At 47.4% G+C, this 21887-nt stretch overlaps 1 protein-coding gene, 1 long non-coding RNA gene and 1 pseudogene across 3 annotated transcripts, besides 2 other annotated features; 1 reads left to right on the top strand and 2 right to left on the bottom strand.

The window, feature by feature from the left end:
• Positions 1 to 2600: 2600 nt before the first annotated feature.
• LOC105376484 (uncharacterized) lies at positions 2601 to 20540 on the top strand. Of its 2 annotated transcripts, none has more exons than XR_930803.3 (3): positions 2601 to 2794; positions 12537 to 12621; positions 13278 to 20540. It is a non-coding gene; the product is annotated as an uncharacterized LOC105376484 (long non-coding RNA). The 2 variants fall into 2 exon arrangements; XR_930804.3 differs by lacking the exon at positions 2601 to 2794 and adding an exon at positions 8854 to 8982.
• On the bottom strand, positions 5373 to 5963 carry GLUD1P5 (glutamate dehydrogenase 1 pseudogene 5; annotated as a pseudogene).
• Positions 6278 to 6407: an enhancer, noted in NCBI's record as "active region_3241". NCBI's record gives its function as "activates an Ori minimal core promoter by ATAC-STARR-seq in GM12878 lymphoblastoid cells {active_cell/tissue: GM12878}" and the evidence as "EXISTENCE:reporter gene assay evidence [ECO:0000049][PMID:35858748]".
• Positions 17356 to 20712, bottom strand: LOC124906892 (uncharacterized). Its single transcript, XM_067756347.1, has 4 exons — positions 20255 to 20712; positions 19160 to 19318; positions 18847 to 18943; positions 17356 to 17648 (listed from the first exon to the last, which is right to left on the bottom strand). The coding sequence occupies exons 1-4, from the start codon at positions 20550 to 20552 to the stop codon at positions 17492 to 17494; spliced, it is 711 nt and encodes a 236-aa protein (XP_067612448.1). The 5' UTR covers positions 20553 to 20712; the 3' UTR covers positions 17356 to 17491.
• Positions 19711 to 20300: a silencer, noted in NCBI's record as "silent region_2278". NCBI's record gives its function as "represses an Ori minimal core promoter by ATAC-STARR-seq in GM12878 lymphoblastoid cells {active_cell/tissue: GM12878}" and the evidence as "EXISTENCE:reporter gene assay evidence [ECO:0000049][PMID:35858748]".
• Positions 20713 to 21887: the final 1175 nt, after the last annotated feature.

Here is a 21887-nt window from a genome sequence, read left to right as displayed (position 1 = left end):
TCCTAATAGGACCAGTTTTCACTAGTGAGTGGAGGCATTTCTTGCTTCAAGAAAATCAACTAATGTGGAAATTTATAAAATAGAAAGATACAAGGAAGCAAGAGTCTGAACTGCAGAATGACTTTGTTTTACAAGTTTTCCTAGAGTTTTCGACACAGAGCTTACCTAATGAATTAGAACCACAACTTAATTAAATCCAAAAAACTACTTATCTAATGGAAAATTCGTTTTAAGCAACAGTGCTATCACTGTTACAAAACCTCTTTATATGCAGCGGCTATGGGGGAGCCTTGACTTAGGGAGTGGCATTTGCCTTAAGTCTACACAAGGACTTTCCTGAGATGAGGACATGCTCAGATATCCTAATTCCTTCCACATGGAGGCTACGGCCATCTGCGGTTGTAAACCACGATTCTTTGGCATGCAAATCCCAGATGGTGCTTTGAATTTAAGGACCATATTGCATCCAGATTTCTATCACATGTGGTTTAATTTTTGTTCTTATTGTTACTCAACACACGGAGAAAAAAGTAGATAAATACATAACTAAAAGAAAAAAAGTCACTCAGAACCCCAAGACTGTTAATATTTTGGTATTTGTCCTTCCAGATGTTTTCTAGGCATATTCATTTGAATGTGGATGTTTATTTTTTCTTGCAAAAATGGGATTGTACACTATCCTTCGTGTCCGTGCTGTGCATGGCATGGCTCAGGGGTGACCTGGACATACGTATCTCTCTGACCAGGCTCATGGTCCTAATGCCATGGTTAGCTGCCATTCACCATCGTTAAGGGAAGGGCAAGGAGGCCATGGGACCCCAGAGTGAGCAGGTACTGCTCACCGAGGCTCTGCGCACATCATCTCTGCTTCTCACACCAACCCTTGGGGGTGATTCTTTTTTTGTTGTTGTTGTTCCCAGATGGAGTCTTGCTCTGTCACCCAGGCTGGAGTGCAGTGGCACAATCTCGGCTCACGGCAGCCTCCACCTCCTGGGTTCCAGCAGTTTTCCTGCCTCAGCCTCTCGGGTAGCTGGGATTACAGGCTCATGCCACCAGGCCTGGCTAATTTTTGTATTTTTAGTAGAGACGGGGTTTTACCATGTTGGCCAGGTTGGTCTCGAACTCCTGACCTCAGGTGATCTGCCTGCCTCGGCCTCCCAAAAAGGAGTGATTCTTTACTCTCACTTTGCAGATGAGGAAACTGAGACTGAGGCTGAGACAGAATTTAAACTCCCATTGATTTGGCTCCAAAGGCAGTGTTTTCTATGGCGCCACAGCTAGTCTCCAGCTAGTCAGCTGAAATGACTTCCAGACCAGAGGCATCTGAGGTGGAGACATCAGGGAAAGGAACATGCTGCTCACAGGACAGAGATGCTGGAGTTTTGCTCTTTAGTTCAGCTAAATCCGAGTTCTTGTCTGACGACCAGGAAAAAATTAAGCATGCGGACACATTGAAGGGTGAGGAGGGCAGAATTTATGAAGCAAAAGAAAAGCTCTCAGCAAAGAGAGGGGGTCTTGCAAGCAGGTTTCCAGCTCCCAAATTGAATACCAGGGCCCCCCAACATGAGCTGAAGAGGCCAGGCTCCTCCCCCTGCATAAGGTGACAATTCCTGGTGACTCCACCCCATTACCCCAGCACATGTGGGCCTCCAGTCTGCTGTGGGTGGACCCAGGCAGGCCCCTTGTGCAGGTTCCCTTACCTGCACAAAACTTCTGGTGTAAACACTTTTGGGGCAGGTCAGAGATTCTCTGGGGACCCTTCTCTATTTGCCTAGGCCTTTGTCTGCCCCCTGCCTCTACCAAGAGGAGCTGGAGATGGGGAGGGCCTATACTTACCTGCAAGGTACCTGGAGGAGGTGTCCAGGGCTGCTTTCTGTAATGTCAGGAGGCAGACACCAATGGCCAGGTTTTAAGCCTCGGTGGGAGAGGAAGGGCCTTCAGTAGATGAGTCAGGGGGCAGAATGGGTTCCCTTGTGCAGGGCTGGGCTGGGGAAAGCCTAATGAAGGGTGGTTTTTGCCCTCTAGCTTGCCCAGTCCCTGTAGCTGTCTCAGGAGTCCCAGCCCCACGGCAAGACTCTATCCTAGAGCACAGGTTTCCTTCCCGTCACATCACAACTCCCACAGCCCAGAAGTGGATGTCTCCAAGTATGTTCTCTGCTAGAGCTAACTAAATAAATGCATTCATATTGTTGGTTTTGGAGATTATTGGTTCAAGGGGTTTCTCCCAAATATTTGCATTTCAACAGCCTTGTTGATACTGGGTGCTGAAAATACAAAGATTAAGCCTCCTTCTCTTAAGCTCGTTAGAGTGGAAAAACAGACATTTCAATGAATGAGTGAGACACAAGGGGTTATGGTAAGATGTATGTGCAAAGGGTTCTGCTAGGTTTTTTTTTGCCCACGGAGAGAAGTGGATGAGTATAGGCCCTGAAGGAGATGTTCAAATGGGTATTTGAGGGATGAGTAAGAGATGTATACCAGGCTGAGGGGTCACTGGCAGGGAAGGCAGCATAATTGATGCCTGGAAACAATGATGGTCATTCTGCTCTGGCTAAAGTAGGCAGAGGCCAGGGGATTGGCCTAGTAGGACATCATAAGACATTTGGGCTGTTTCCTGTGGAAAGCTGGCGCCAAGAGATTTGAAATTGTTTGAAGCAGGGGAGAGGCCTAATCTGATTTGTGTGTTGGAAAGGTATTTCTGGTAACAGTGCGGAGGCTGGATGAGTCACTTGGAGAAAAGAAGACCACATTCCAGAGGGTTCCATGATGTGGACACTTTCAGCAGGTGGTGAGGGTGAGTTTGGGTCAAAGAGGCCTCTTCCCAGGATTCCAAGAAAGACTAGCTCTGGCCTTGGGGAAAGGAAGACAGCTGTAAGGAAATGCAGGACGTGGTGTCTGATCCTTGGAGAGGTTAGAGGGGGCAGTTTCACTCCACCACGCCAGCCCTTTGGTCCTCGGAGTCTCCCATTGGCACCCAAGGCTGGGGGTGACAGGTGGTTGGGGGGGGTACCGCCTTCACAGCTGCCTTAAAGAAACCTGTTATTCATGATCTCAGTAAATCCTGGGACTGGCCGGTGGGGGGCGTTGGCCTTTCCTGTGTTTGCTTCATAGGGGCCGTCAAGCTTTGCATGACTCTTCCACTTCCCGAGGTGGGGAATACCGCAGGAAACAGGCGCTGGGGTGATTTGGGGCCAGGAGGGGGTGTTTAGCCCGGAGAGAAAGCTGATCCCAGGCTTTGGGGAATCTTCCAGGGGTTGAGAGCCAGCTGGGGCGGGGCATGACTACTGAACATCTCTTGGGCCAAATAACTGGTTTTAAAATGCAGTTAAAGAGACAGGGGCATGTCCTGGTTAAGGACAGGGACTTTGCAGCCAGACTGGGAGTTCAAATCCTGGCCCTGCTGCTTCCTTGCTGTGTGCCTTAGGGAAGCCACTTTATTTCTCTGTGCCTTGGTCTTCTCATCTGTAACATGGGGGCAATCAGGATACCCACTTTGTAGGTTTGTTGCGAGGATTAAATGAGTTCATGCATCTGCAGCATTTAGTGCCGTGACAGCATCTGCCTCACTGCAGATGGGGGTGGCCTGAGCTCTCAGGAAGTCAATCCACCCAGGCACACCCTGGCCAGAGGCTCTTCCTTCCCTCCTCCAGTGTAGGCGGTAGCTGCACCCAGGAGGCCATCCTTCTCTCCCCCCAGTTCCTGCAGATGTCAGGACAAACAGGTGCCCAGACACACCCAATTAGAGTGCAAGGGGCGGCCCCCGCCCAGAGCCCTCACTGCCCAGACCATCCAACTGGACCCGAACCCCACCCCCACCAGATCAGCCCTAGCCTGGGACTTCAAAGTGGTTTATTTTGTTCCTTTTCCATTTGGATTCCAGGAATAGTTAATGGCGTGTGTTAGAGCAAAACAGCCATAACTTGCAGGCAGCGTTTCTCTCCAGATTAAACAGGTGCATAATCCCTCTTTAGCCAAGCTAAAGAGGCCGCAGCAGCTGGGGGCTCCCCATCTCTGTGGGCCCTTGCAGGGGCACTTTCCTCCTGTCTCTGATGCTCCCCAAATGTTCCTCTGTGCGGGGCCTCCCTGGCACCCCCAGTTGTCCTGGGCCACTGCAAACACCGTACTCCCTTACCACACTGAGCAAACCCACTTTGGTTGTGAGAGCCTGAGGTTAAAATAAAAAGTATTTCCCTGTTGGTATTGCTTTGGCTGCATGCACATGATTTCATGGGGGAATGTGTTAAGCCCAGTGGAAGCCGGGCCGGGACAGGTGCGTGGAGCCATCTAGGTGAGCTCTCCCTCTTCTCCCTCCCCTCCGAGGTGGCTCCCGGGTTAGGGAATGTTCCTGCATCTCCACAGGGACCATCTGGCGGAAAACCAGCCCAGCCCCACCCATGAGGGGCAAGGGTGAGACCTTGAAAGCCTTCTGCCCTGGTGTGGGCCGGGCGGCTCTCCTGGCCTGAGTTCTTTGCCAGCCTCTCTCTTCTGAAAGTTTCACAATCATGCTCTAATGGAAACAGCATGGTCAGAGAGGCTGGTGGCCCCTGAGATTGTGGCCGCGCAGTGATGGATGGGCCTGAGGACGGAGCGGTGGCCCACCTCCTGCTTGGCTCCAAAACGGAGCTGTTAGCACAGCCTGACTCAGATCATTTATCTCCAAGTCCCAGGGGATTTTTAAACAGCTGTGGAGTCGACCTTTTCCAGAGGGATCATGGTTCTGGCTTGTGGTAAGAAAAACACATACTGTCTGAACCCCAAAACCCAGGCCTGGATTCCTGGAGCTTTATTTCAGCATGGGGATGCTCCCATGCTGAACCTCCTCCCCAGTGTCTGGGCCATTCAAGCCGGCGCGGGGCTCAAACTCGGGACACATGGAGGTAGAAGGCATTTTTCTCTTTCCCTCCTCCCCACTGCCTCGTTTCTGTTAATCACCCAGGGGAGCAGGGCTTGGCAGCAACACATGGGCCTATCCACACCATCCCGCTGGCCAGGCAGCATCTTTCCACAGATGCAAAATCATTTTCTGTTCTTTCCCAGCTCTGCCCATGTCCCATGTCCCTATCTTGCCTCCCGCTTCCTCCCCTGCCTTATTTTCTGCTCTCCTTCCCAGGAGGTCTTGTTCCTGGGATGGCAGGAGTCCATCTGGGGTAGGTGCCCAGTCCCTGGTGCTGGCCTGAAGAAGACAAGTGCAGAGTGCACCGGCTGTGAGAGCAGCCCCTGCGCCTGTCCCTCTGCAGCAAGCATGGGCACATGGCGGCCTCCTCCTTGGTGTCCTTCTGTGACCTGCTGGAAGCCCAGCATGACCCTCGAGCACCTCATGGAGAGAGTTGGGGGGAGGAGAGGCTGGGTAGGAGCAGGGACAGGGCCTGGCCCTGCAGGAAGGGTGGGAGGTGGGCCTTGCTCACTCCGACTGGGAGGCCCTGGGTTCCCAGAGAAACCTGAGTGGGGCCAGGATGGACACAAAGTTCATAGTGAGGGAGACACAGACACAGGTGCCAATAGATGGCAACAAAGCAAAGACAGAGGAGGAGAGAGTCCAAGTACATGAACATCAGCACATCAGAAGGTGATCATCAGTGAGCCACAATGGCCAGAGAGGAACTGAGAGGGAAGTGGGAGAGTGGAGACACAGGGATAGGGGTGCAAGCCGCAGAGAGGCTGAGTGGGAGGGAGGAAGAGGGCGGAGGCTCCAGGGCCCCACACCCCCTGCCCAGCACCCCAGAGCCAACCTCACCACTGCCTGATGGGTCTGGACTCTGGGGAGGGACCTGGAGGCTAGGACCCCCCCAACACACACACACACACACACAAACACACACACACACACAAACACACACACACACACACACACACACACACACACACCCGTCCACACACCAACTTCCAGAAATGCCAGCCCAAGTTGGAGCCAAGGGAACAATGCTTTCCCCATCCACCCTGCCCACCTCAGGGCCCACCTGCAGAGAGGGGCCTCTTGGAGCTGGTGTGGGGGCCTCCCAAGCAGTTGTGTCCAAGTGAGTGGGAAGATTCTAGAGTTCATTAGATTCAGCTAAGGGCTCCCAGCATGCAGACATTGGCCTTCAGAAGATTCCCTGCTCTTCCTGCCTGGTCTGGATCCAGGTGGAGGGCACAGGGGCCTCTGGTGGACAGAGGACCTCAGGAAATCAGGACTAGCCTGGGGTGGTCCCAGCTGTGTCTGTGAAACTGGAGTGGTTTACCCCAGTAGGAGTTATGGAACCCAGTTGGGTATTCACTTCTGCATTGGTCTCTGAGCTGCCGCTACAGGGAGAAAATTTCAGTATTTCAATCTTGGGACTGTCAGGCCAGGTGTGATCTCCGAGGACAGCATAAGCAGGCTTCTTGGGGACATACTGCTCCTTGCTGGGACTTCCCTGGTCACCTCCTCAACTGAGTGACACCCCTGGTGAGGCCCAGCTGCTCCCCTCCCCTCAGCCTCCACCTCCATTCTTTCTCTGCCCCTCCCTTGTTCCATGTCCCTATGTCCCCTCCCTCTTCCTCCCTGCCTGTTTTTCTGTATCTCTTCCCTGGGATGCCTTGCTAATGGGAGGGCAGGATTGGGATCTGGGGTAGGTGCCCAGCCCTCAGTGCTGGTCTGAAGGAGACAAGTACCGAGCCCACAGGGTGTGGATGTGCAAAGAGAGGACCCAGAACTTAGCTCCTTGCACATTTACACAAACACATACACAAACACACTTACAGTCACTGTGCAATCATAACCACATTACAGAACATTTAGAAAAAAAGAGGAAAAAGTCTCCCCATTCCACCTAATAGAGCTGCTGCAACTATTTCCCTTTTCATATACAAATGCAATTTTAAACACAGTAGTAGTTTTATTCTCTATAAAATTGTGTGCCTTGTTTGTCTTAGTATGAAAATAAGATTTCATAAGAATTTTAGATGTGGTTGTATAGTCTTAACAATTATCATTTAAAATGAGAAATTGATATTCTAGGAAATCAATGTATCCTAGATAAGAGTCCCCCATTTTGTTTTGGACATTTGGGTGATTGCTGTTTTGTTGTTGCTGTTGTTGTTTTGCTGGCCCACAGAGTACTGCAATGGAGCTTCTATCGTATTTCAAATTTGTCTCTGGGACAGATGAACTACAAGTTTCTTGAGTCCTAACATGAGGCCAATGGGGGCCTCCATCTTCCAGCCCTCTGCCATCAGCCACAAGGGAAAGTGGTCCAGAGAGTGTGGGTGGAGCAGTGTCAATCCACCCCAATGCTGGGTCAGCTCAGCCCCTTCCTAGATGAAGGATGCTGCAGTCATTATGTTGTTGTAGCTTCTAAGTCATTGGGTTAACCGCTGAAGTAAAGCAAGTAATAGGCACACCATTCTCAGTTAGCTGAGCTTTGGTGATGTGGCCTCAGCTGGGGCTACTGAGATGGGTTTTAGGGGACATTTGTGGAGCTTTTTCAGTTATTTATGTTCTATTTTAGATTCCAGGGTACATGTTACATGGGTATACTGTGCAATACTGAGGTTTGAGCTTCTAATGATCTTGTTGCTCAAGAAGTCAACATAGTACCTGACAAGTATATTTTCAACCCTTGTCCCTCTCCTTCCATCCAGGGCTTCTGAAATGCATCAGGTGCCTCTCCAGGTGAACCACCTGCCTACCTTTCCCCCAGTTCTTAAACAGGAAGCAAAATTACAATGACAAAGGTACAAGCACAACATCTAACCCTTCCTTGAGTCTCACATTTTGTATGGCTCCTGTGCTTACGCAAGTTAATAAATGTGTATGCCTTTTTCCCTGTTAATCTGCCTATTGTCAGTTTAGTTCAGTAAACTTGAATCTTCAGGGGGGGAGGTGGCAAGAATTTATTACTCCTCGTTTGCCTGATAATCTAGGATCCCACATAAATATTCTGAAAACAATACCCCAAACTATGGTGCTTTGGGCTACTGAGCACTTTGAACTGAAGGAAATCAAAAGGCCTTAGACTTCAAGCCTCAGAACAAAGGATCTTTTAACCTTCCTCCCCTAAGCACACGGAGGGACTCTCTCTCTCTGGAAGTTCCCTTATCTGACTGAGAAAAATCTTCTTCCAAAAGAAATACAACTGTCTTAAGATTCCCTCCCTAGAAATCTTATCAAATAACCAGGAAAGAGTGACCACAAGAGAAAAGACCTGAAGTCATCACACCCAGATAGATATGTCATCTGTTCTTCTGAGGAAAACTCCTGGGAGACTTTATCTGCATAATAAGACAACCTCTGTTCACAGTGCAGTTCTGCCCCTTACCTTCCCACTACCTCCCCAGAGCTCAGAGGAACACTGTCCCAGGCCATTGTCTGTTCTTTGGGCTCATTCAATTCCCTTACAAATCATTTACTATTTCTCAAAATTGCCTATATCCCCTTTCTTCCCTCTTCCCTATGAAGAGGGTAGTTAAGCCTCAACCATCTGACCCTTCCCTCGAGACTCGTATTTTGTACAGCTCCTGTGCTTCTGCACATTAATACGTTTGTATGCTTTTTCTGTTAATCTGTCGATTGTCTGTTTATTTCAGTAGATTAAACCTTCAGAGGGGAGGGAAAATTCTCTTTACTCCTACAGTTCCTACCAGCAGCCGTGAGGGCACAGGGCCAGGTCTGGGTGCTGGCTGTGCTGTGTGCCCCAATGTAAGGCATTTCTCAGCTCCACATCTTTCACTTTAATTTAATTAAAACCCATAAGGAGATGTAACTCCCAGCAATGTTTGGCAATGTGGGACATTTGAAAATGACACAACAATCTAACAACAGAGGACACTCTGTGTCAAAATAATAGTGTAGAAACAATTTAGTGATGTGACATGCTATTTGTAATGCCTATTTGTGGGGAAAGCATAATCTGATTTTTAAATGAAAAATTACACACACACATACACACAAGCCTGGAAAGCTAACAATATACAATTAAATGTTAAGTGTTTCTTCTGGATGGTGAAGGGATGGATGGCTGATGGGTGAGTTTTATTGTTCTCTTTTTGCTTAACTGTATTTTCTCCTTTGCTATAATTAGCCTATATTCATTGTATAATTGCTTAAAAGATGCTCTTTATAGTACAATAATATCATTCATCCATGTTTTCTCACTGTCTTTCATAAATATGATTGTATTTGGTATCACAGTAACACAGGAATAAGGCCAGAACAGTATATGTTCTTGTGCTTTATTTTGTAGATGAGGAAAGGGAGGCTCAGGGAGTTGTCATGCCTGCCCATGGTCACCCAGCCTGTGGCTGGAGGAGCTGAAGTCCGGCCGGGACTCCTGATGCCTGGTTCAGGACTTGCCATGGCACCACGCTCCTTTGGGTGGAATTCTCACCCTCCAGACCCTCAGCTCACTGGCTCCAACAGCCATCCCTTAGACAAATTCCACTTGAAAGAAACAGCAGTTTCCTAATTTCTCCAATATTGACAAGACATCTGAAAATACATCTGACTCTTTCACTGCCCTGCCTAGAAGCTTCAGGGGCTCCTCCCGACTCCAGGGCAGGGGTTCTCAACTTTGGACATTCCAAGTTGGATAATTCTTTGTTGTTGGGGGCAGTCCTGTGCATTGTAAGATGTTTAGCAATATCTCCGACCTCTTTCCACTAGATGCTGGTAGCACTCCCTTGGTCCTCACCTACATACCGAATTGCATCAACCAAAAATATCTCTAGACAAAATCTCTCCCTACTGGAACCAGCCAAAACTCTTGGGCCTTCCACCCTGGCCTCTGGTTACTCCCACAGCATCTCCTTCCCCAGGCCCTGTCTCATGTCTGTTTGCTATATTTCTCCTTGACCCTACAGCCTCCTGTGCCAGCACTTCACTAAGTGTGTGGAAATCACCCAACATATTCTGTCTCCCCAGCAGAGTGTGAGCTCTTGAGAGCAGGAACTGTGTAATTCTCAGCTTCAAACCCCTCATGGCCTGGTCAGGGGACACTGTATCTACTGTAAATACTTCACAGACACCTGGGCTGGAAGGAAGGAGCAAAGGAGGAAAGGAAAGAGGGAAGGAGAGACAGTTACTTATTGTGGTGCAGTAATTTATGGACATTTTCATGATCTAGTGATCTAGTTCAATATATTTGTTTTGAAAGGTGTGTTTATGCTTGGCCAAGTCTTTTTTCCTTTGAATTATAAGGGGGCTATTAAAGGGAGCCACAGCCAAACTTGTCTCCATCAACCAGGGAAATGAAGAGAGTGGATGATTCTGTACTTACAGCAGCAGCAGCAGCAACAGCAACAGCAGGGGCCATGGCAATGTAACAGTTAATGACAGTGTACTTCCCAGGCCTCTCTCTCTTTGAGCCTATTTCCTAACTTTAAAATGAGAATAATAAAAATGCCCATTTTCGTATTAGTAAACTGGTACATGTGGCTCACCCAGGACAGTCCTGTGTACGTAAAATGTTCAGCCCAGGTTAATTGAGTCCAAGTCAAAATCTGAACACTAACGTCTGTAGGACCCTGTCCAGAATCCCTGAAAAATGGGCCATCATCTAACCAGCTAACCAGCCACTGAGGCACTGCATTTCTGCATTTCTCTACCCAAAGGCAGAAGCACAGGAGACAAATACATCCAGCGTCCATCTAGAAAGGAGCTGCCAGGTCCTTTTCTCTTATTGCTTTCTTTTGTTACAACCATTAGTGGCTGCTTTTCTTGAGTTGACATTTCTAATATCTCAGGGGTGTTTTGTTACTTTCTACCTGTTTCTTCCCTGGGTTATTCTTTGGTTCATTCAGGGCTTTCTCCCAGGTGATTGGATCCTTCCTGTGCCGGGGTGTGTTGGGTTGACTTGGGCCATGGGGTGGCTGAAGCTATGTGTTGGGAACAAGATCTCCCACAGTGGCACCACATAGGTGGCATTTCATTTTGGAATCCACTGCTACTCCTCTGATTCTGGGACTTGGTTCTGAGGAAGTGGCAGTAATGGTAGCAGCCATAAAAGCCCCTCTGTCCGGCAGGGTATCAGTGATACCTTTGGGTTCCTTTCCCTCCGGGAATGCTGCCATTGCTACTGCTGTGGGTCTGAAATCACCAGCGTGGAGTCCAAAGACATAAACATGAAATTTCCTGACTGTAGCACTGCAGGATGCTCTTGAGGAGACTGGCCCAGAAAAAAATATCCAAGGTTTCAGCCTCTGAAAAAGCTGTGCTTCCTCTGAACAAGGGCTTCGTTTTTGTCCTGTGGACAGGAAGGCTCTGGCAACTATTTTCCTTATTGCTTATGCTGCTAGGTAGCTTAGAGTCAAAATCGAGTGCCACCTCTCTGCATGTGAGCCATATCATTTGGTATGCATTCCTGTGAGGTCATCTAACCATTATTTTCCTATTCATGTTCCCCTTCCATTTCTCAATGGTTTTTAACGTTATTATTCCGAACAAAATCTCCTTGTGTGAAGTTCACAGAATTGTTTCTGAACAATCAGCAACCTGGGAAATGAGCATCCCTCTGCCCCATTGTCTCCACACCATAGCTGAAGGTTGCAGGATTCAGCAGCCCAAACAGCTAGGATTGCTGATGTTGTGTTCTCTGTGTTTGTTTAAAATCCTGCCTTTGGTTTATTTTCTTTCAGTCCCAAGTGAGGCTGCGTCTCATAGCCCTTTCTTAAGGCCCTCCCTCCCTTTCCTCCTTCCTTCCTTCCTTTCCTTCCATCCCCTGCTAATTTGGGGGCAGAGAAGAACTGAGATCCCACTAATAATGAGCAGTTGTTGAAATTCTGGGAAAGGCTGGGGATTGCACACTGCTTTATCTTCTAGAAACCCTCAGGAGGCTGCTTGTATTCATTCTCATTTCCCATTCTTACCCTATTTTTGGTATCTTCCTCTTTTTGCCTCTGAGACCCTCCTTCTCTGGTTTGGGGTTACCTTTGGGGCTCCCAGACCTTGACCATACTCTAGCCTGGGTACTTCCCAGGACTGAACTCCACTGTTCATCCCTACCTGGGCTACTTCAATTGTCACTACCCTTATGCAAATCAGCCTAACAAAGATGGGTCTCGGTGTTATATTTGCCCACTTTTTTTCCTAATGGTGGCCCGATTACTCTAGGTTCCTCTCTGCTTTTGTGAACCTGTTGTCCCTCTGGCTACCACAGACTCTAAACACTCTTCATTCATTGATGCCATAAGTGATTAATCTCTGGCTCATTTCCTCCCATCTCCCCCAGAGTGTGTGCAGTGCCCATTCATCAAGATGCCCAGATAATTGAAGCAATCCACCTTCATTCGGGCCATGCTCTGGGCAGTGACGCCAGCCTGGCGATCTGCGGTGCTCAATGTGATTACTGTTTCTTAGTGAATCCCTGGGGCTCCTCAGCCTCCTGCAGAACCGCATCACCTTGAATGGCTTTTCTGTAAATGCCTCCCCTTCCTCTCCATCAAGTCCTTCTGTGGATTTTAATCTTAGGTTGGCTTTAGCAATACACAGTCCTGACTTACATTTTTTGACATTACAATGGTGCAAAAACAATATGCATTCAGTAGAAATTGTACTTAAATTTTGATTTTTGATCTTTTCCCAGGCTAGCGATATGTGGCGTGGTACCCTCTCTTGATGCTGGGCAGTGGCGGTGAGCACAGCTCCCAGTTAGCCATGCGATCATCAGGGTAAATGACCAATACTGTATTCTACAATGTACTGTATTCAATAAGTTATATGAGATATTCAACATTTTCTTATAAAATAGACTTTGTGTTAGATGACCTTGCCTAACTGTGGGCTAATGGAAGTGTTCTCAGCATGTTTAAGGTAGGCTAGGCTCTGCTATGATGTTCAGTAGGTTAGATCTACTACATGCATTTTCTACTTAGAGTGTTTTCAACTTGTGATGGGTTTATTATGAGGTGACCCCATTGTAAGCGGAAGAGCATCTGTAGTCTTACCATGACCCTGAGATGAATTGTTGTCATTGAAGAACCAGGCAGATAGGATGGGCTTAAACTGTGGTTTGAGGGAGTTGAGTTGGCCATTAGAAAAAATTTTTTCTCTGAAGGTGGAGAAACTGAAATATACTACTAAGAAGGGTGGTGGTATCTTTTTAAGAAAACTCTAGGGAAAGGGGATAAAGCCAGTCTCTCTTGAGAGACTGCCATTAGAAAATTGAATGGCCTCTTCCCCGCCTTCCTCAACACAAGGAAAATTCTTAGAGCTGGAAGAGAGCTGCGCAATCATCTATTTCAACCTCCCTCTCAATGTCAATCTTGGAATATCTTAACCTATCATGAATCCTTCCTAATTATTCATGTATTCACTCATTTTACAGATATGTGTGACTCAGGACACCATGTTGTCAGATCTTCACCATCCTAAGCACAATGTAACAACCCATAATGGCTAAGTAGTGTCCCGGTAACATGGAGGAATGAAAAAGTTGTGTAAATGGCATCAAGATTGTCTTAAGATTATCAAGCTAATAGAAGCAATAAACATCACCAGTTGTTTTAGGATTTATTCTTCAAGGGAGGGTTTGCACTTAAAGGGACATTATCTCTTCCAACTAATACCAATGAACAAGAGTAATGAAACAAAGAGGCATAATTTCTACCACCAGAAAACTCTTACATATGTAGTTTTTAAAATGTACACTATGCAGTAAAAGATACGAAATCCAATATTAGACTAGGTATGTAAAATCAGAAATATTTTTCTCCAGAGACCCAGAGAACTTGAGGTAGTCATTGTCCTCAAAGCCCTTTGCACATCAAGATATGCAAGGTCCAACTGCTTCACTTGGAATTCAAGTCTTCCAAAATATAGTCCCAGCTTTATGTGCTACTAAAGATCTGCATTCAACCTTTCAAGGTCCTTAACACTGATATGATTATGATGTCTCACCTCTATCCTCCATAAATATAAAACAGGATCACAAGCATAGGCAACAAAAACAACACTAGACAAATGGGACTATGTTGAACTAAATAGCTTCTGCACAGCATCTACACACAATCAACAGTGTGAAGAGACAGCCTGGTGAATTGGAGAAAATATTTGCAAACTATTAATGTGACAAAGGACTAATATCCAGAATGTACAAGGAACTCAAACAACCCAACAGTTGAAAAAAAACCCATATAATCCCATTAAAAAGTGAGCAAAGGACATGAATAGACATTTCTCAAAAGAAGACATACAAATGGCCAACAGGTACATGAAAAAATGCTCAACATCACTAATCATCAGGGAAATGCAAATCGAAATCCACAATGAGACATTTTCTTACCCCTGTTAGAATGGCTACTATTAAAAAGACAAAAAAAAAATAGTAACAGATGCTGGCAAGGATCTGTTGGTGAGAATCTAAATTAGTACAGCCATTATGGAAAACAGTACGGAGATTTCTCAAAAAACTAAAAATAGAACTACCATATGACCCAGCAATCCCACTATGGGGTATTTTTCTAAAGGAAAGGAGTTCAGTACATCACAGCATACCTGTGCTCTCAGTTTACGACAGCACTATTCACAATAGCAAAGATAGGGGATCAACCTAAGTGTCCATCAATGGACAAATGGATTAAAAATGTGATATAAATACACAAATAGAATACTATTTGGCCATAAAAAAGGAATAAAATCTTGTCATTTGTAGCAACATGAATGGAACTGGAGGTCATTATGTTAAGTGAAATAAGGCTGTCAGAGAAAGACAAACATTGCAAGTTCTCACTCATATATGGAAGCTAAAAAAAGTTGATCTTATGGAGGTAGAGAGGAGAATGATAGATACCAGATGCTGCGAAGGTGTGCTGGTGGGGAAGGGGATTAAGAGAGTGCTTAGTTGGTGGGTACATACAGTTAGATAGGAGGAATAAGTTCTAATGTTCTATACCACAGTGGGGTGCTATAGTCAGTAACAACGTATTGTCTAGTTCAAAATAGCTAGAAGAGAGAACTTGACATGTTCCCAACATATAAAAATGATAAATACTTGAGGTGATGTCTACCCTAAATACCTTGACTTGATCATTCCACATTCCATGCATGTAACAAAATATCACATGTACTCCATAAATATGTACAAATATGTGTATCAATTGAAAAAAGGAAAAAAAATAACATAAATGTAAGGAAGTCCAACTGTGTTCTGATTTTGCCCATAATGTTTTCTTGATACGTTTTTAAAACATCAAATAATAAATTTATAAACAAAATATTTTGTTAAATGAGCACTGTCCACTATAACCCTCCACTTGGTCCAGTCTGATTTCTATCCCAAGCTCAAGATTTTGTGAGCTCTTGGGCTTTCTTCACGCCTAGAATCTCCCTCTCTCTCTCTCTCTGTCTCTCTCTTTTTCTACTCTGGAAATACAGCTCCTAACTTTTACTTAAGGCCTTGGTCAATTTTCAGACCAGCATCTACCACCAAGACCCTTCCCCAACAAGGATGCCTCCATTGATTACTCCTACAGGGAAAGCTCTGTGATCTCCTGGAGAAACTGGTATCCACATCTCTTAATAACATGCCACTGGCTGGGCGCGGTGGCTCATGCCTGTAATCCCAGCACTTTGGGAGGCCGAGGCAGGCAGATCACCAGGTCAGGAGTTCGAGACCAGCCTGACCAAGATGGTGAAACCCCGTCTCTAATAAAAAAATACAAAAATTAGCTGGGCATGGTGGTGGGCGCCTGTAATCCCAGCTACTCAGGAGGCTGAGGCAGGAGAATCACTTGAACCTGGGAGGTGGAGGTTGCAGTGAACCGAGATCATGCCATTGCACTCCAGCCTGAGTGACAGTGTGAGATTCCACCTCATAAAAAAAAATAATAACATACCACTTTGTGACATACCTCACGCTGTTACTTCATGCTTGAATTTCATTTTTTAAGTGTTTCTGTGTTGTTTTTCCAATGAGCATGTGGGTTTTTGAAGGCAGGACTTAGGTCTTACATTTCTGTGTCTCTCCTCTTGATGCTGCCAGATACATAGACAACACTCGCATTCCTACAATGCCTTAAGTACTTAAGTTAGTACTTCCCAATTTGAGGAACAAAGCAATTCATGTTAGAAGAAAAAAATTATCTGAATCTTTGAGATTACACCCCAGTTTTGAAATATTGCACCAAAAGTTGGTGATTACTTGGGTGCCAGTGGAATGGCAAATTAAAATGCATGATCAAGCACTGATTAACATTAAAGTGAAAATACAAAAATTAAATGTCTCAAAAACTCTTAGACTCTCAACAATATATTCTCAACCCTTTCTTCCATCCTATACCGGCTCCCCACCACTCCCTTCCACTGTAATCCAACTTTGAGAGATACTGAGCTAAGTCTTGAGAGCTGTTATTAAAATATCAAAATAACTCACCTGTGAATGCCTTAGCTCCAGTAATCTCATTAGATCAGTCAGCCCTCCCTTAGCAGTGCACCAGGAGAGGAGACACAGGCCAGTTGCATTTTTATGGCAATGAGAGGCAGGTTGGAAAAGTCTAGAGCTTTAGATCCTGATTGCTTCTAGTACAGCTTCTGCAGGTCAAGCTTTTCTGCATCAGGTCAAGAACCAGCAGGAAAACCATCAAGTGCAGTGGGAGTTTTGAGAAAGAGGAGGTGGTTACTGATGCCAGATGCTGCAGACAAGTAACATAAACACAAGAAATTGGACATATTCTGCAATGCACTCCCTGTCAAGAGAGTAGCCTCAGGAAAATGGGAAGAAGAAATGGAGCAAGATAGCAGCAGCAGATTGGGCATTAAGTAGGAGGTGAGAAAATAGAGATAGTGAGTAGAAGGGAAGGGCAGAAGTTGAAGAGGGTCAGAGATGAAAGAAAGTCTTTGCTTATTCAGTTTTTGGGCAGGAAGATGAACATATGTATTGCTGAAATGACTGAAGATTCTAGAGAAGTGGTGGAAGTGATGGAACAAGGGTCGCCAGGTGAGGCTGAACCAAGGGTGCAGGAGAAGGAATTAGCCACAGGCAGGCGGAGGGAAATTCTCTGAGAAGCAGGTAAAAAGGCCTTTGACTGTACCTGGCAGGAACCAATTTAAATCTATTAAAACAAAACAAACAAACAAACAAACAAAAAACAAACAAAAAAAAAAAAACAAGAGCATGGCTGGGCCCCAGGACCACCTGGACCCAGGACTTTTCTCTTCACATCTGTTTCACTCCAGTCTCAGCCCCCGCAGGTCCTAGTTTCTTCAGCCTGGTGGAGAAACAAGGCTGCCATCAATTCCCAAATGTTTATCTTCACAGTGACAGCCATGGGAGAAAGGCTGCACTAACCTTCTTGGCCTCAAATCAAAAACTCTAGAGAAAGGCTGTCACTGGGCCATCTTGAGTATTTATTTATTAGCTTGTTTGCAGATTTTAACTGAACATTCATTACTTTCAATTTTCCAGCTTTATTTTTTCAAATAAATTTTATTGTGCATATTTGACATTTACAACATAAGGTTATGGGATGCATTTGATAGTTACTATAGTAAAGAAAAGTAACATGTCTCTCATCTTGAGTATTTTAGGAGTCCAACCATGGGTCAGTGAATTCTGGCTAATTCTGGCTGTGGACAGGAAGTCCTATGTAAGCACATGTCAGCATCCAAGGGTGCCTCACAGATGGAGTGGAAGGAGAGGCAGTTTTCATTGAAGAGGGAGGGTCTGGTCAACAGATAGGTATCCATCCACAAATTTAGTCTGGAGGTGGAGAGTTCAGAAAATCTGAGAGGTTCGTATCTTAAGTATTTTTTTGTTTGTTCAGTTGGTTTTGATTGTTGTTGCTATTGGTGAAGTTAGGGTCTTTTCCAAGAATTAGGGGATAGATGACGATTCGGGCTACAAAAGGTTTGGAACTCTATCATGTGAAATGAGAACACCAACATAAGGACTGAGCAATGTTGAGAAGCAGCAGAGGGTAGAAGGCATAACTGTGTCACAGGATCAACCCAGACTTATTCATGTAATGAATGTTACTGATGGCTATCTCTAGTATCATCCAGTATCCTGGACATAGTAGCGTGAAAACACAGTTGGGTTGATCCAAGGTTGGAGAGTGGAAATATAGGTTGTTCTGGGCATGGCAGCGGGAACAAAGGAGCTGAGGTGGGAGGAAGGGCTGAAGTAGGGGGGATCTACCTGCAGAAGAAGACTGTGAGATGACCAGCACAGGGAAGAGGACAGAGAGCTTGGGACACAATTGGGAAATGGTGACAAAAGCTGTTGTGTCTCAGTGGTGCCTCTTACGATGCCCAAGGGAGATGACCCCTCAGGAAGAATGAGCACACCCTGGTGTGCTCAGGAAAGTTCCACGAAATTATCAATGGCACCTCTTTCTGTTATTGAGAGATCTCCAATTTGGATGCTGAATCATGTGGTCTGTCCACCCAATGCCAGGTCTGAAGCGATCGAGGAAAATGGCCTTTCGGGATGTCAACTTTGTGTGCTGCAGCCCCAGACCCATTGGCTGGAAGGAGTAACCCTGGCTTTCCACCTGCTTGTTCCTACCTCTTGTTTCTACCAAGGGAAACGGAGACTCCTTCAAAGTCTCCAGCACCTGCAGATTTGGAGTCTGAAGAGAAAGGGTCAGAGACAGAAACAAAGCCACCCTGGCCTGGCCTGCTGGCTGACTGCAGGGAAAGCCCACATACACTTGAGGCAGAAGGGAATGGCAATGGGCATGAAAATACTGCCCATACCCAAACTGTGTTCCCTGAGGCCATCCGATACACCCAGGGTGCTTCAGGGCAGTAAGTCCCAGAAACCACATGCAATTTCTGACCACACACTTCAGCTTTTCTTGGCATGAAAAAGGCAAGGGCCATGCCTGAATGGTTTTTGTATCTCCCACAGCGAAGACCAATGTCTTGCCCACAGTAGATTCTCAGTACATACTTACATGATCAATGGGATGTCCTTTTCAGGGCAGATTAGAATGGTCCTGTCTCGGGACAGGTGCCTCAGTTGGTGGCCTTGAACCTGGCTTGTAGACCTAACTGTGCAAGAATAGACCACAGGAAATGGAGCAGCTGAGGATGGGGGAGCAAGTTGGAAGGAGCTGGGGTGGAGTTTTTTCCTGACCCCAGCTGGTGATCAGCTTATGCCCTAAAGCAGAAGGATTAATAACCAGGGTAATTTTATCCCAGTCAGAATGTAACTACAGATGTGGGCTTATTGGGTGAAACAGCTAATCCCTTCTCCATTTGGCTCACTTGTGAAATACGATGAAATACGATGCCTGGGGCTATCAAAGCACGATTTCCTCCTGGGCCTGCTGCTGTGTGCAGCCCCACTCTCCTGGGCGAGAGGACAGCTGTCCGTGGACAGTCTTTTGGGCTCCTGCCTATTGGATGGACTGACTCTGCCGCTGACTGAGGGTGGAGGGGAAGGGAAGAGGCGTGTGGGTGGGTGTGTGTCTGTGGACTCGGGGAGGGGAGGGTGGAGTTGAAGGAAAATGTCAGGTGTTGGAGCGGACAGGCGCACGGAGACGCTGGAGGAATAAAAGACTCCTGGAAAAAACCTAAGATTCATTGCAACCCCAAGTCCCGAAGGCTAGAGGGATGGGGAGGCAACAGGAGGAGGGCGTGAGGCTAAGGGGGCACACCTGGTTGTACACGTGGCCCAGATCGGAGCCAGCAGGCCTCGGGTGCTGGCCACGGGAATTTGCAGCATGACCATAGTGGGAGGCTCTAAAGCCAGGAGAACTCAATCAAAGAGCTGCTGCTGATGGAGCAAAGATGAAAGGGTTTCCAGGCCAGCCAGTGAAACCCTTGGAGTTTTTCCCCGGGCAACCACCCTGGGGCGAGTAACAGGAGATACGGTTGGTGCCGAGGTCTGGGAGTCCAGTGCGGCAGCGGGAGGGAGGTAGGCTGGGAGTCCCGTGGGGCTTGAGGAGTGGGCGGGGCCCCGGGCGACGGGGCGTGGCCCCCTGAGCCGTCCGGAGGCCGAGCGCGGAGAACTCGAGAAGGGGCGGGGCCGCTGAGCGGTCCGGAGGCCTAGCGCGGGGAATCCGGAAGGGGCGTGGCCCCCTGAGCAGTCCGGAGGCCGAGCGCGGGGAGTTGGGAAGGGGCGTGGCCCTGCCCGAGCTGGCGCCAGGGAGGCTCCCACCTGCCAGGGGTTGTACATGGCCGCCCTCCCTCCTCCCGTGCTTCCCCGGGCGGGTCTCTGCGCGCAGTCTCCTGCCGGGCGTGGCCAGCCTTGCAGCTCATCCCCCGGGGTTGGCCGGGTGGTCTCCCCCCGCACGTCCCCGACTCCCAGACGCCTTTCCGCGGGGTGCGCCCGGGGCGCTGGAAGCCTGGATCACTTACGCCGAACGGCCCGGGCTCCCCGTGCCCCACCTCTTCTTCGCCCCTCGCGTCTTTTCCGTCCCAGGCTGATGGAGCAGGCGAGGTTAAAGCTTCGTTCCAGACACTTTAAGAAATGTTCCGGGGTTCTTGGAAGTTGTTTAGGAAAAGCAGAGTGCCTGGCATCCTCATCCAACGCTCCCGAACTAGAGACGGCATCTGGCTTGAGGGGTCGTGGTGGGCGGGCGGAAAGGCAAGAATGACCAGGGGCTTTAAATAAAATCTTTCCCATTTTTCCCTTTTCCTCTGACCTTGCCTCCATAATTAATCCTCCCACTGTCCCCAACCCCCAAGCCCAAAGAATATAGAGACTAAAGCCCCTTATCCCAGAGGGCTAGGTGAACCCCCGGGGTCCTCCGGCTCAGCCTGGGAGCCCAGGCAAGGATTTCGCTTCCAGGGCGGGCTTCAGGGTTGGGAGGCGCACATCGCCATGGCAACGAGTTCTTCCCGTGGGAATAAGAAACTCCCGAATGTGGAGCAAATTGGAAAGGGACCTTCCAAGAGCCAGCTGGGGCTCCAGGCAGGCAGGGTAAGGGGAGGTGGTCTGTAGGGGGTGGGGATGGGGAGGCACAGCTGATCCCAACCCGCGACCCTGATTATGGCGCCAGAGCTGTGCGTGTTGCCTCTGAGTCAGATGGGGCCACACATGCTGGACACGTGACATGACATGCTCTCCCATGGCTGCCAGTTGGCAGATGTGTTTGCTGACTTGCTTAGAACAGCCACTGCCTGGCTAAGTGGGACAGTTCCCTTCTGTGGGTCTGTTCCAACCTCCCCTTGGTGGTGAGACCAATAGCTCCTGTTGGGAGAACGAGTTTGAGCTATGAAATTCAGTTCTCTGGCGCCGAGGCCATTGATTTCTAATTACAATTTTTTTTCAAGTTTCAAAAATTTTAAAGTCCCAAGTTATATATGTATATATTCCAATTCAGAAAGGTGTAAAGAAGAAAAGGAAAGTGATCCACAACCCCCAATCCTTCTTCCCAGACATAACTATTGTTAACATTTCGTTGTCATTCTTCCAGATTCTTCATGTGCACATGTAGCTATATGTATGTAGGTGTATTTATATAAGCACCACAGACATGCAAAGCTGTCTAAAAATCTGTATCATCATTTCTTTTTTTTCTTTTCCTTTTTTTTGAGACAGAGTTTCACTCTTGTTGCCCAGGCTGGAGTGTAGTGGCGCGATCTCGGCTCACCGCAACCTCCGCCTCCCAGGTTCAAGCCTCAGCCTCCCAAGTAGCTGGGATTACAGGCATGCGCCACCATGCCCGGCTAATTTTGTATTTTTAGTAGAGACAGGGTTTCACCATGTTGGTCAGACTGCTCTTGAACTCCCGACTTCAGGTGATCCACCCGCCTTGGCTTCCCAAAGTGCTGGGATTACAGGCATGAGCCACCGCGCCTGGCCTATATCATCATTTCTAATGGCAACACGGGATATACCATGATTAACCTATTTGGTATTGCTGGACATTAAGTGGCTTCCCAATATTACCCTTCTATGTGATGATATGCATCCTTAGACAGTTTTGCACAACCAGTGTGCTAATTTTCTTAGGTAAACTTCTAGGATTCTGGGTCTAAGGGTATA

This window comes from Homo sapiens, chromosome 10 (assembly GCF_000001405.40).
Source record: "Homo sapiens chromosome 10, GRCh38.p14 Primary Assembly".
Taxonomy (NCBI): Eukaryota; Metazoa; Chordata; class Mammalia; order Primates; family Hominidae; genus Homo; species Homo sapiens.
The sequence above is the reverse complement of the archived record's forward strand: the minus strand, read 5'-3'. Positions and strand labels throughout refer to the sequence as shown.